Genomic DNA, 15,210 nt, shown 5'->3' with positions numbered 1-15,210 from the left:
ATGGTGCTTCAGTCATTAGACTTCTTGGATGTTCCAAATAGCCCAGAACAAACCTGTCTCATTAAAATTTGCTTTGAGTATATAGTAACTAACAAGAATTTGGTAGAATTTGAATCACTGAGTAAATCGATTTTTTGGCACAAGTGCATGTTTATTACATTGAAGGAACAAGTGCACAGGTAACAGATATTGTTGTTAGGAGCTTGTCACAATACTCTTGAAATCTTTGGGAGTCCTATTTTATTTTTTATGTGACTATCATCAAGCGATGAGCCCAATTTTAAAATAACTTAATAAAGTAAGTTCCTCTTGGCTCTGGCAATCTATTCATAGCCCTGGCAATCTATTCATAGCCCTTAAAGGAGATCACCTTAGTGAATGGGCAGGGAGTAGCATCCTCAGAACCTGGCAGTGTAAACCTCAGCCAAAGCAGTTGCAAAGGGACCATCTAAAGGAATCTGCATGTGTGGCTTCTCATCAGTGATGCCTTTTAAAAAATGCTGGAGCCCGGCCGGGCACGGTGGCTCAGGCCTATAATCCCAGAACTTTGGGAGGCCGAGGAGGGAGGATCACGAGGTCAGGAGATCGAGACTATCCTGGCTAACATGGTGAAACCTCATCTCTATTAAAAATACAAAAAATTAGCTGGGCATGGTGGCGGGCGCCTATAGTCACAGCTACTCAGGAGGCTGAGGCAGGAGAATGGTGTGAACCTGGGAGGCGGAGCTTGCAGTGAGCCGAGATCGTGCCACTGCACTCAAGCCTGGGCAACAGAGCAAGACTCCATCTCGAAAAAAAAAAAGTTGGAGCCCTTTTTAAAATTGTACCTGTTTTCTCTTTGACTTACTTTCCTAGGCTATGTCACGGCTGTGTGAATACAAAGACTTGCATCAAGATGCCGCTGCTTTGAAAAGGGTTATCAGCATGAATTTCATTGGTATTGGGTGCTCTAATGCCATCTTATCTTAAAGAGAAAAATTGGCCTTATAAGACCCTGAACTTCTCAACTGTAAAGACTAGAAAATATCACTTCTGCTGAAAGAAACAACAATATTAGGATTTTCTTTTTTTCTTCTTTGTTTTATTTGTTATTTTTTTGTTTGTTTGTTTGTTTAGGATTTTCATCAAGAGGAAGTATCTTCAAGTTAGCCACATTGTGGAACTGGGTGATGGTGGGATGAACAGTGGGTGCCAGGTGCTTCCTGCCCTTCCTCTTTCACTGGGTCCAGATGGCATTCCTAGGGCACCACCTTCTTGAACAACTCTTGGAGAGAAGGAGTGTCACATGGACACAGCACATCCCAGCTCAGAGTCCAGTCACCCAGTCTCAAGCAGGTGCCAGTGGTGTCCACAGTCACCCACAGTCCCTAGCAGGTGACAGTGGTCTGAGCTGAGCTGGAGCTAAAAAAACTTTAGAATTGGCTCCAGATTTGTGAGAGCACCTGGGTTTGGTTCTCTGTCCACTGAGGCACTGAATGCATGATGGCCCAAAACTCAACAATGTTGGGAAGAGAGAGTGGCATTGGGGCAAGACTGTCGTTACTCCAAGCACCAGGGTGGCTCAGGTCTGCTCATCTAGTCTTCGGAGGGAATCTGTGCATGTGAAATGAGGCCCCCACGTCATGGTTATAAAGGAAGAGATGAAATCAGCTCATCTTCTCCCAGGCCGATAATGGTCACTCCACCTAGGGAAGCAGTAAAAGACCTGGCCTTGGGATTGTTAGGGGAGCTACAGAAGTGAAAACTGAATTTACCCAGTTCCGGGAAAACAACAAAGGAGGAGCATCTGGGTTCAAAACCTTATCAGAAGATCATTTTCCCAGCTAATCTTGCCCCGATGCATTGTATGGTCTCAGCGCTTATCAACAAAACAAAAGCCTGTCTATAATTCTAACACTGGGACACACCGCACCTCACATTTTCCAGTGCACTGCAGTGGTTCAAGAGATTGCTGGTGCTGCCTGCATCTGTCTGTTTGCATATGGAGAGGAGCTGAGGTTCTCACGGGAGCGGCTTCTGCATCCTGAGGAAGTTTACTCACGCAGTTCTGGTTGTAATAACTGGTGGCAGCTACTGACATGCAGTCAACAATGGGACTCCTATGGTGCACAGGACTGCCCCCCTTGTCAATCAAGAAATAATTTTCTGGCTTCCAAAATAGAAGGTGCTGAGGAGCAACTGCCTCAGAGTCTACAAGGGAACCACTTTCTGAGACTTTCTTTTCTCTTACAAGAACACCAGATCCCCACCAATGTGAGATGTTAGATCAAGTTTTTGTGCAAGGGTGGATGTAGGGGGCAGAATCCTAAGATGCCCCATGATCTCTGCTGTCTTTTGTTACACCTGAATCCTCATCTTTTCTTGGGTATGGCCAGACCTGTGCCTTGTTCTAGACATTTGAATATGGCAAAGTGAGGGAGTGGCTCTCTGCGAGTTACCTTTCCTTTCCTTTTATCGGGAACTATAGGAATCCCTATTTTCTTTCTTGCGTTTACTTTCACAGTGCAGTGGTTTGGAATATCCCACCGTCAATTTGCGATTTCCTCCTCCAACCATAATCTATGGCCCTTTATATGTAATTGAATGTTTTCATGTATTGATATTTTGTCTGAAGATAAAATATTAGACTAAACATGTTAAAACATTTCATGCAAAACCTTCAGTGGTTGTAAAGTCTACTCTGGTGAATACACAAATTTATCTATTTTATATATTAAAAATTATATTAGTTGTGATAATATTTTCTTTTTTATCTTCACTTGTTAGATATAGTTACTTAAGTTTTTCCAAAATTAATGATATTGTATCTTATATTTGATTTAAAATACTACTAGGATATTTGGATTGATCGTTGAAAATAAATGGCAAAATAAGAATTGCTGAAACCTAGTGATAATGTACTTAGGATGGGTTTATTATCTATTATCTGTATCTTTGTTAAATGTTTACATTTCCATGAAAACCTATACCTAACAACTTAAAATTTTGTGTAAAATCCTTCGTGCCCTGCACTTAGGCTCCACTGCATAATGAATAAAAGGAAAATGGATTCTCCTGCGGGAAGTTCTGCTGGGCTCTCCCTTTCTTTTCCCTGCAACATACGGAGAGCATTTTGAGGTCTCCATGGGGTGAGGTGGCCGTGAGTGCCGGGAGGAGTGCATGTGTGGAGATGTGTTTCGTGCCCACGATTCTCCCTTGGGTCTTTCTGACTGTGGTGGTGGCTTTGAGGATGGTTTCTGAGGATCCTCTCCAGGGGAGCTCTCCGCTTGTGAGATCTCCATCTGGGGAGGGGGGAAGATGTCTGGGGAGGGATTTATGGGGTCGCCCCTGTGTGACAGAGGCGCCCTGTGCGGGGTCTCCGGGAAAGCATATTTTTAGGGGTGGCTGGGGGAAGCCATCGTCTGGGTGGAGGGTGGGGCCTAGTCTCCCCTGTAGGGGGGGCGGGATGTCTGAGGGAGTGCTGGAGGGTCCTCCTGTGAGTCGGGGTCGCTGTGCAGGGTCTCAGTACAGCCCTCGACCTGGGGAACTCATTGTGGAGACCCCGAGGTGGTTGGGGCGGGGAAGGGGGCAGCCTGGGCAGTTGCCGCAGTGTGTCAGTGTCGCTGATGCCAGGAGACAGGTTTGGGAGGAGTCTTTGGAGGGGAATAATTGTGGAGTCCCATGTTCCGGGCGGGGAACACTCGAGGGTGCTCCAAGGCCAGAGGTCAATGCGGGGTGCGCGTGAATAACCTAGGGGGACACTCAGGGGAATGATGGCTCCCCCGAGAGGTAAAGGGTGGAAAGAAGGGGCCTCAGCAGGTTAGGTCTTGCAGGGTCCTTCTGTAGGGCGTCTGGGAGATAGATCCGTGGGGCTCCTAGGGTCGCCCCTACCCGGCGCGGGGTATTTTCCCGTCTTCAGACCTTTCTGGGTCCCGGAGGAAGGAAGTGAAACTGGCATCGCTCTCTGCATCGCCCGGTGGACGCGGCCAGGAGGCCTGGGCTCCCGCCTGCCACACTTGGCGCTTGGCAAACTTAGTTCGGGGGAGTCGCGGGGCTCCTGGGCGGGGAAGCTCCTTGAGCCTTGGAGACAGTGGGGCCACCCCTTAAGGGCAGGCAGCAGGAAGGAACGGAGCTAGTTGCGCACCTCTGCATCCTTTTATTACGGAATTGGAATTGGGTTTACTTGGCCGACCGTGCGGAGCGGAGGGTGGGGTCGGCGCTCCCCCTCCTCCTTCTCTGCTGGGCTCAATTTCCAGCCCAGATCAGAACCCTTGGGGCGCCTGCTGAGGGGAGCGCGGCCTGGTGCGGGGGGCGGCCGCGGGCTCCCGGGGCTGTCAGGGGACATCTGCGCCCTGTGAGCTCCAAGCCCGCCCCACAGCTCCTGAACCAGCCAACACGGGCGCCCGGCGCAGTACGCGGACCCGCAGCCCCAGCTCCCGAGGTGGACAATTTTGCTCCAGAGCGAGCGGCGACAGGTAGGGCTACAAACAGAGGGAATGCGGAGGGCTGGCCAAAAAATGAAAAAAATAAAAGGCAATTTATTGAACGTGGTAGTCATGAAATGTGGAGTTTCGTATTAGATTTGAGTGCTACATTGGGTTTAGAATGAGTGACTACAATGCAGTTTTAGGGCTGGCGATAGACAACTGTAAAACTCCAGGAAACTGCGGATAGGAGAGTCGTTGATAACCTTTCTGTGAGATGGCTCTTTTGAGCTGTGTTTGATAAGAAATATGCCCAAACCTACGAGTACAGCTTTCACATTCCTAACAATCTGAGTCACTCTGAGTCAGAGTGGTCTTCAATAAATTACGATCATTTCCTTTGCTTTTCTGACCTGGTTAAACGAATCACATGGTTCCTGCCCATTAATACACCTGCATCACTAACCAAACCTTTGCGTGTTAGCTTGCTGCCTCCATTTTCTTTATTATGCTTTGAAATGGACAAGAAATAGATTTCATTTTTACAATCTGTGCCCTGGGTTTCTCAAAATCTTAAACAACCTTAGTGTATGTTGACCTGTTAATTTTTTAAAATGCTTTACTGGGGTATATTTTATATAATATAATCACATATTTTAAGTACAACTCCAGGCTATTTGGTATATTTATAGAGCCATGCGAGCTTAATTACCATCTAAGTTTAGAATATTTGTATCCCTTAAGAGGAAAATGCATCCTACTTGCATTCACCTTTGCCATGTCAGATCTAGACAACAATCAATTTTATGTCTCTATAGATGAGCCTATTATCAGAGTTTCTAATAGCCAGGATCATGAATTATGTGGTCTTTTGGGTCTGGTTCCTTTCGCTTAGCCTAATGTTTTTGGGTTTCATTTCTGTTGTAGTTTGCATCATTGCATCATTACATTATTCCTCTTGGATGGCAAGTGGAGTTCTATTGCATGGACATGACCACATGTTATGTGCATTCATATGAGCGTCTTTGTATGATTATAGGAATTTCCTTTGCATACTAACTTTGGGTTAGAATTTCTGTGTCCTATAGTGATTTTATGTGCAACATTTTGAGGGATAGCCACATTTTTATTTCGTATTGTTTTATTTTCAAGGTGGCAGAATATTTTACATTCCTATTTGCAGCATATGTGAGTTCCATATTCTCCACTTCTTTTCTAACATTTGTCATTGTATCTTTGGTATAGCCATTCTAGTGGGTGTCAACTAGTACTAATTGTGGTTTGATTTGTATTTTCTTAACAACTGATGAAATTGAGCAAATTGGCAAATTGTGTATCTTCTATGGAAAACATCTATTCAAATCTTTTGTCCATTTTTAATTGGTCAATTGTTGTTTTATTATTGACCGATAAGAGTTTTTTATATATTCTAGATACTAGCTTCTCTGAGTTTGGTTTTTAAGATTCCATATATAAATGAGATTTTATATAAAATATATATGATATATATATAAAATATATATGTGTGTGTGTTCTTTATAAACCCTAATATACCCAAATAATGTATACAATTTAAAATATTTTTCCCATTAAGCAGCATATGTTTTCATATTCTTTTTGATGTTCTAAAAACAAAAGTTTCCAATTCAATAAAGTATAATTTATTTTTTTAATAAAATTGTGCCTTTGGTGTAATATCTTAGACATATTTATGTAACCCAAGAATACAAATATTAACTATAAGATTTCTCCAAAGAATTTTGTCTTTAACCTCTTACATTTTGATATATTACCCTTTCTGAGTATTTTTGGGGGTCTGTGGTTTGAGTTAGGAGTCCACTTTTTCCTTTTGCAAAGTGTATATTTAATTTTCCCAGCAAAATTTTTTGAAAAGACATTTATTTTCCTTTTACAATTTCTTGGCATCTTTGACACAATCAATTTACCATAAATTAATGTGTTTATTAGTGGCCCTTCTATTCTATTCTGTTGGCCTACATGAATCTATACTTATGCTAGTACCAGACTATAACATTGCAGTAAAAATTGATACTGGATGGGTGAGCAAGGTGGCTAACACTTGTAATCCAAGCATTTTGGGAGGCCAAGGCAGGAGAATTGCTTGAGCCCAGGGGTCTGAGACTATCGTGGGCAACACACCAAGATCCCATCTCTACAAGAAAAAACAAATGTTAGCGGGATGAGTGGCATGCACTTGTAGTCCCAGCTACTCATGAGGCTGAGGTGGGAAGATCACTTGAGCCCAGAAGTTCCAGGTTGCAGTGAGCTGTAATCCTGCCACTGAACTCCAGCCAAGGTGACAGAGCAAGACCCTGTCTCTGAAAAAAAAAAAAAAAAGATATTGGCAGTGTAAGTAACTAAATTTTGTTATTCTTTTCAAAAAATGCATATATTTTATTTCCTTTGCGTATCCACATGCATTTTAGGAAGAGGTTTAAAATTTTTGTTGAAAAAACCTAGAGAATTTGCATTAAATCTATAGATCCAGCTTTTAGTATTTTGATATTAATATTAAGCATTGTTATTCTTGAATATTGATGTCTCTCAACATATTCAGTTCTTTGATTACTTTTAGCATTTTAAAATAATTTTTCACTATGATGTCATTGCTCTTATTTTCTTAAAGTTATTTCTGACTATTTCTTCCTTTAAGAGGCTTTTACCAATGGTATTTTTGTCTTCATTTAATTTTTAGATTGACTAATTTTATACAGTAGTACAATTTAAGTTTGTATGTTGATCTTGTATCTGATTGTATCTAATTAATTTATTAATTCATATAGGTTTTTAGTAAATTTCTTACAAATATTTATACAAAATCATGACATGTGAAATGACCTATTTCTTTTTCAATCTGGGGAGTGGGTAAGAGACGGGTTCTGCCTAGGCCTGGCCCTTCTTCCCATCTGGTCATTGTGTGAGGCCCAGAACCCATGGTGGGAGCTATGGAGAGGCACAGCCTCTGCCTGGGTCCCTGGGCCTGGAGGGGCAGGGCTGTAGGGAGATCCTGGCTCCCACTTAAGCTGGTTAGGATGGATGCCAGAGCTGTCCTGACGGGGCCCTGGGAGCACAGCAGAGGCCCTGGGGGGTGCCCTGGCGAGGTGGGCATGCTCCCTCTCCCCAGCTGAGCTGCCCTTGGCCTCTTGCTGCCAGCTCTGTTCCCCCTGGGAGAGACTTGGTTCCCTCCTGGCAGGGAAGGGGCTGTGAGGATGGGAAGGTGGAGCCACCAGCTTCTCAGTTGGAGCTCAGAGGCCTGGGGTACCAGTGCAGTTGTCCTCTGGGAGACAGTGATGGGGGGTTCCATCCACCTCCCTCTCACCATCACCAGTGACTCTCAGGAAGGAGGTGACTGTCAGGGCACCTGCAGGGGGCAGCAGGAACCAGAGGCCCCAGCTGGCCTCTAGGCCCAGAAGGCAGAGGAGATGCTCAGTGCCTGTGATTGGCAGACTGGGGCAGCCCCTCAGGGCCTGGGCCCAGCTCTACATCAGCTGTTGCCAAAGCAGTTCTGCCCAACCCTCTGGGGTGGAAGCTGAGCAGAGGACCCCCATTCAGGGCGCTTATGCTGTCAGCCAGTCTCCTAGGCCCTCAATCTTCAGGGGTGCAAGTACCCCAAATGCCGGGTTCTCCTGTCACCCAGTGGCCTTGCCAGGAGTGGCCCCTTTCTGGGGGTATAGGGAGATAGGCCCGAGTGCAGATAGCTGTGTTTTCTGGTATCCTGGAGCCACTGGGGCCTCCTGGCCCATAGCCGTCCTTCTGGCCAACCTTCAGCCAGATGCAAGGCAAGGGGAGTGCACCCTTCCTGGGGCAGCCCTGGTAAGTGTGGCCCATTGAAGCCCAAAGCCAGCTCGAGCTCCAGCCTGGGACCCACCAGCTGCATTAGAGCAAGGGTAGCGGCAGAGACTGGAGTGAGGAACACAGATGGCACCAGGGAACTGGCTACTTTGCTAACATGGCAGTCCTGAGACCCCAGGGCCCAGGAGAGGGTGGCACCAGGGAGCAGTGGAGTCCTCATGAACAAGTTGGCTACTCTCTCACTGGGGAGGTCCCCAGGGCTTCACCCAGAGATGATGAGACCTTCAGGGTTCTCCAGAGGAAGGAGGAGGGGCAGGACAGACCCTCATGGGTAAAAGGAGGCCTCTGGGGAACCAGCCACGTTGTTTTGAAATCTGATCAGGGGATAGATGCCCTCTGCAGGTGGTGGGCTCCCAGAGCTGGGGAGGGAGGATGGGGCCTGTGGCCACCTGGCCTTGTCTTCCCTCTCCTTATCCATGCCTCCCATTCTAGACACGCCAAGGAGCACAGGTTTCTCATCTAGGTCCAGGTCTCTGCCTCCCCACTTCTGGGATCTCAGAGCTCAAAACTGCTGCTTCACAGTGGGTGGGGGCCCTTCCTCCTTCTCCCCTCATTCCAGGGGCATACCAGTCAACACAGCCTTTCTCTGGGACCTTGTAGGGTAAGTTCCTCCTCCTATCTGCCCTTCCTCTTGCTGCTTCTTGAAAACCAATCGATCTCTGCCCCTCCTACTCCTGTCTGCTCAGTCATTAGTGTCAGGCAGTTTTTCACTGTGGGGCATGGCTGCTCACTTACCAAGAGCTTGGGGTTACCCTGCCTGGGAGCTGTTGGGTCGCCGGAAGGGAGAGGAAGTCCTTGTGCATCCTTGTGCTTCTTGGCAGTTTCATGGAGGGGTGACAGCAGATGCAGTTATTGAAGACTCTCAGTGGCTAGGGTTTTGGGCAGTGCAGCAGCCGTGGGGGTGTGGCTGTGGAAGGGAATCTGGTTTCCTTCTGACCGGTGTCCTTAGGTCAGACTCTGGACCTTTCTGAGCCTCATACACCCTTATTTGGGGTGAGAAGGAGGGGACCATATCTGAGCTCCCGGAGGTCCTATTTCTATGTCGTGGGATACAGGGGAGGGATAGTAGCTTCTCTCCATGTCCCTGGTATGCCTTTCTGTGCTGGCAAAACCTCTGTCTGAGGCTCCTGCTCCATGCTTCCAGTGGGTCATGTTTGGGCCCACACATTTCTGGGAAATGCACCCTAATCCCACTGCTGAGAGCTGGGTAGGGAAGAAAAGATGGGGCTGGCTGGGATGGGTGGATCTGGGTGCGCTGTTCTATCTGGAAGCTGACCCAGACTCTGCTCAGGGCTGAGACTTTTGAGCTCTCAGCCAAGCCAAGCCAAGCAGGCCTGCCTGGCTGATGGGCACACCCTGGGGTCCCAGGTCCCCATTTGCTCAATGGGCATCCAGGCAGGCCTGTGTTTGCTGGAGGGTTTCTGAGAGGAGGCCTCAGCTCCCAAAGGCAGGGAGGGGCTCTCCTTTGTTCCCCTGGTGCCTAGGTAGGAATGGAAAATTATGCCACCTACTCCCCACTCTCCTCACAGCCTGTAAGTTGGGGGATGGGGTGTAATTCTGCCATCAGTGGTCATTCTGGCATTTGAGAAGAGGGCTTATTTCACCTAGGCCTAGAAAGATGAGTGTGCATGCCTGAAAGAATGGAATATCAGGGGCAGCCTGGACAAAAGCACAGAGGTGGGAGGGCAGGGGCATGGTCTTCAGCCTTCTGTGTTTTGGCCCTTCTAGACCTGAGTGGGAGGCAGGAAGAAACTGAGGCTGGCTTTAGGTTGGTGCCTGAGAGTGCTGGCTTAGGAAGCTTGACTTAGAGAGCAGTGGGCTTATTAGAGGGGTTCCAAGTGGCAGTCTTGAAACAGGAGAAATGCCCATCCCAGGGCTTGGCCACAGAGGTAGGGGACCATGGGCCAGTTGGGAGATTAGGATTAGTGATTCAACAGGGAAGGGGGACCTACACAGAGCAGCGGCCAGTTTGTGGAGGAAGCTAAATTCCATTCCCACAAGACAAGTCTTCAGTGACGCTTAAGGGTCAGCCACATGTGATGCCTGGGAGGCAGCTGTCCCCTCCATCTGTAAAGCCTGATCAGGGCCAGGATTAGGATTTGCCATGGGAACTTCATGGTGGAAGGAGGATATTTGAAGCCATGGAGAGGATGAGGTGAGAAAGAGAAGAGGCTGGGCCCAGGCACATCCCCAGCTCAGGACTGGTGGAAGGGGATGGAGCCAGAGAGGGAGGGACAGGGGGATCATGTTGGTCAGGGAAGAGGAGGAGGGAGTGTGCAGTGGTGGGGGGTGCTGCTGAGAAGTCACACACATCAGGGCTGGAGAAGATCCTTGGGCTGGGCCCTAACAGTGGCATTGGTGACCCTGGGGAGAGTGCTTTGGGCAGTGTGCTCAGGTGGAAGCCATGCCATGGTGGGCTGAGGAGCAGCAGATGGGAAGGGAGGGCTCAGGATGTGGGAGGGAAGAGGCGGTGGACTGCAGGGGTGCTGAGGATGAGGTGGGACTGTGGGTTGGAGGCTCAGGAAGGTATGCAGACACTGTTCTATAAGGCACATGCCCCCCCAGGTGAAGTGAGGCAGACAGCCCTCCCTCACCAGCTAGGCCCATCTGATTCAGCTCCATCCTTGTCACCCCCAGAGCCACAAGGACTCCCCAGAGAACTCAAAGAAGGATGTTGGTGCAGCCAAGTCACCCAGAAAAGGTGGGCTGGATGAGGTCGATTTGGGAGATAATATCCCAGGATAGGAAGTCATTGTTATTCAGAACATGGTTTTGCTGTGAAGATCCTGGCCTCCAGGATAGAGTCCTTCTCTCACAGGTAAGGGGGAGGAAGGGATGCTGGAGACCAGGCCTGAGTCTGCTGGGAAGGATGAGGCTAAAGTACCAAGTCTTACCCATGCTCCTTCTGACCCCATGTCATAGGCAGGAAACGGAGAGTCCTGTGCCTTGCACAGGTGCCAAGACTAGCTCGGTCATGGAGACCCTAACCCAGTGGCACTAGAGGAATTAAAGGCCCACAGAAATACAGAGTGTGGAGTGGGAAATCAGGGGTCCCACAGCCTTCAGAGCTGAGAGCCCTGAACAGAGATTTACCCACATATTTACTGACAGCAAGTCAGTGATAAGCATTGTTTCTATAGATTATATATTAACTAAAAGTATTTCTTATGGGAAATAAAAGGATGGGCCAAAGTAAAGGGATGGGTCTGGCTAGTTATCTGCAGCAGGAGCATGTCCTTAAGGCACAGATAGCTCATGCTATTGTTTGTGGTTTAAGAACGCCTTTAAGGGGTTTTCCGCCCTTGGTGGGCCAGGTGTTCCTTGCCATCATTCCAGTAAACCCACAACCTTCAGCGTGGGTGTCATGGCCATCAAGAGCATGTCACAGTGCTGCAGAGATTTTGCTTAGGGCCAGTTTTGGGGCAGTTTATGGCCAGATCCAGGGGCCTGTTCCCAACATGTCCCCCTTCTTTATTTTGCAAAGAGATAAAAACAAAGGCAGCTTTGTCACAGTGAGCTACTTCTCACAGGAGTCAGGATCTGCATCTGCATACTACACAAAGACAAACAACACAGATTAAAAGCACAATCATCATTGAAATCATAGAGCTTCCAAGTGTTTTTGTCCATTTTAATGGATTACTAGCTGCTAACCCAACTGCAGCTCCTTCAAGTACTGCAGTTCCTGGCATTAAGGTCAGGTGTGCCTGGAATGCTTTAAATATTTGTTCTTTTAATTTTACAATATCCAAAGACAAATTTTTAGAGTGTGCTTCTAGATGCTTTTTATTCTTTCCTAAATTTTGTTCTTATTAAGAGTCATTAATAGTTTCCACAAATCCTTATGTTTAGGTCCTATAACAGGCCATATCATTTGAGGTTGAGGGGCCACTATACCACCATGGTGCCAGATAATAGGAACTCTTGCCATATTTCTTATCGTTTCTACCATCTGACCATTTTATTCAGACCAGCTGAACATAGTATGGCCATGGCATGCAGAGGGGTGCAATTCAATCTAAACAGCCCATTAGGGACAAATCAATAATGATTCCATAGGAATCGTTGCACCAGCACCTTTGCCTGTTCTGCAATGCAATCTTCCTAAACAAGTACATTCATTTTTTCTGCCCAGGTTCAATTCTGTTTACAAATAGGTTTTTGAGGCCAGTATGCCTCAATTGTAGGACCAGATTTATTATGACAAATACTGAGATCAGAAAGCATGCATAACTGTGTCATAGAGTGATTACATCCAGGCATTATTGCCAGCCAAGATTGATAAATATGCCCAATAAGTATAATTGTTCTCTGTGTCAGCCCTTGTTGAAGGAATACTCATGGCAATGGTGATCACCACTATCATAGCTACCGTTAAATTACTCATTGTGACTGGTTGTCCCTCTTTCCTCAGGTTTTCTTCCACCATCTGTGACAGCTTCTTGATCTGTCCCCAGGTGGGTGGCTGTGTTCAATGGGTGCTGCTCATGACAGTTGGGGTCCTCCTCAGTGTCAGTCTCGACATGACTGCAACCAGGGGTTCCTTGGGTTCTTCCTGGAATCTCTTCCTCAGCATCTGACTCATGATAAGGTTTCAGGTTTCTTGATGATATCCAAATCAGCTGTTGACTCAGTCCTGGAAAAACACAAGCATAACCTCTACCCTGTTATTATTTTACCTATTTCCCAACTTTTTGTTATCAGATCTCTCCATCAAACCAGTTGTTTTGCTTCTGTCTTTGCAGCTGGTTTCTATAGATGCTGTTCAGCTGCTAACATTTGGCCTTTAGGCACACTCAAAAAATTTAAAGTTAATAATGCTAGATTCAATTGTGTATGGGCTGTCCCATAATCCCTGTTCCCCCTTTCTGTTTTTGCAACTGCTCTTACAGGGAGAGATTCATTCTTTCTACTATGACTTGTCCTTGAGAATTATATGGGATACCAGTAATGTGTTTAATATCCATATAGAGAAAAATGTACTAGAGCTTGGCTAGTATAGCCTGGGGGAATTGTCTGTTTTAATAGAAGCTGGAATGCCCATCACTGCAAAACACTGCAAAAGGTGATGTTTAACACAGGCGGAAGACTCTCCTGGTTGGCATGTAGCCCAGACAAAGTGAAAAAAGGTGTACACACATACATGTACATAAGCCAGTTTCCCAAATGAAGAAACATGTGTGACATCCATTTGCCAAAGAGAACTAGATTCCAATCCTTGAGGATTAACTCCTCCTGTAAAAGATGAGGAATACACCATTTGGCAATTTGGGCATCATGGATAATAGCTTTAGCTTCTTTCCAGGTAATGCTGTATCTGCATTTGAGACCAGAGGCATTAACATGGGTTAAATTGTGAAAGTGTTTAGCATTAGATATTGCAATAGCAACTAGGCAATCAGCCATTTGTTTCCCTGCAGTCAAAGGTCCTGGAAGAGGTGTATGAGCCCTAATGTGAGTGTTGTAAAAAGGGTACATTTTACTCCTAACTGCTATTTGCAGTTGGGTAAATAAAGTTATCAGTTGTTCATCTGTATGAAATCATAACTGAGCATTTTCAAATAATTGTGTGGAATGAACCATGTATGAAGAATAAAAAATCACATTAATAGGCATATCAAAAGTGGTCAATACCTCAATTACAGCTACAAGCTCTGCTTTTTGAGCTGTAGTATAGGGCATCTGAAAAACTTTACCTTTTGAGCCAGAATAAGAAGCTTTACCATTACTAGACCCATCTGTTAAGACATTCTCAGCACCTTCAATTGGTTTAAATTTAATTATTCTAGAGAGGATCCAGTTAGTTAATTTCAAAAATTGAAACAGTTTTGTTTCAGGAAAATTATCAAGAATACCCACAAAGTTAGCTAAATGAGTTTGCCAAGTAAGACCATTTATAAAAGCTTGCTGTATGTTTGCCTTCATGAGGAGGACAATAATTTTTCTAGGATCATATCCATGTAATTTAACAATCTGAGTTCTCTCATTTCCTATCATAGTAGCGTTTTGATCCAAATAAGGAGTTAGAGTCCATGAATTAGTATGTGGAAGAAAAAGCCATTCTACTAAGTCCTGTTCTTGGACAATAACACCAGTAGGTGAATGCTGAGTTGGAGAAATTAGCAAATCTGGAGTCTTCTCTGGATCTATTCTATTTATTTGGGCTTTATGGACTTGCTTTTTGATCAACTGCAGCTCTGCCTCAGCTTCTTTTGTTAATTGCCAAGGGCTAGTGATACTAGGATCTCCTCTAAGAACAGAAAATAGATTACTCATGGCATAGGTAGGAATGTCTAGAGCAGGTCATATCCAATTAATGTCGCCTAGTAATTTTTGAAAGTTACTTAATGTTTTCAATCGATCCCTACATATAGTTACTTTCTGTGGCACAATGGTAGTGTCATTTACTAAGGTCCCCAAGTAGGAGTAAGGAGGAGTAGTCTGAATTTTGTCAGGAGCTATAATTAAACCAGTGTCAGAAATTGAATTTTGCAAGTGATCATAACACTGGAGTAATATTTCTCGAGTGGGGGCAGCACAAGATATATCATCCATATAATGAATAATGTAACACTGTGAAAATGTTTTATGAGTAGGTTTAATTGCTTGCCCTACATAAGTCTGGCAAATTGTTGGAATGTTTAACATGCCTTGTGGCAACACTTTCCAGTGAAAATGCTTAGCAGGCTGCAGGTTGTTTACTGCAGGAATTGTAAATGCAAACCATTCACAGTCTTGTTCAGCTAAGGGGATAGTAAAGAAACAGTCTTTTAAATCTATGACTTCTAATGGCCAATTTTTCAGAATCATAGCAGGAGAAGGCAATCCTGGCTGTAATGTCCTCATAGGTTGTATAACTAAATTAATATCTCTTAAATCAGTTAACATTCTCCATTTACCTGATTTTTTCTTAATTACAAAAACTGGAGAATTC

At 45.6% G+C, this 15,210-nt stretch overlaps 1 protein-coding gene across 4 annotated transcripts in view, besides 1 other annotated feature; it reads left to right on the top strand.

Moving 5' to 3' along the window:
- CCNYL1B (cyclin Y like 1B) overlaps positions 1-3,036 on the top strand; it is a 29,979-nt gene extending 26,943 nt beyond the window's left edge. For 2 of the 4 annotated variants that reach the window (XM_047435044.1, XM_047435043.1), the window contains one exon: positions 856-3,036. In XM_047435044.1, coding sequence (XP_047291000.1) covers positions 856-910 — 55 coding nt within the window. In that variant the 3' untranslated portion in view covers positions 911-3,036. The remainder of the gene's footprint in view (positions 1-855) is intronic. The other 2 variants (XM_011546045.4, XM_047435042.1) reach the window with 1 other exon arrangement.
- Positions 1-15,210: part of a sequence alteration artifact (region identified as an assembly artifact by the Genome Reference Consortium. This region falsely duplicates sequence located at GRCh38 chr16:34827082..35072498) that runs on past the window's edge.

This window comes from Homo sapiens, chromosome 16 (genome assembly GCF_000001405.40).
Source record: "Homo sapiens chromosome 16, GRCh38.p14 Primary Assembly".
NCBI classification, from domain to species: Eukaryota; Metazoa; Chordata; class Mammalia; order Primates; family Hominidae; genus Homo; species Homo sapiens.
This window is presented reverse-complemented; position numbering and strand designations above follow the sequence as displayed.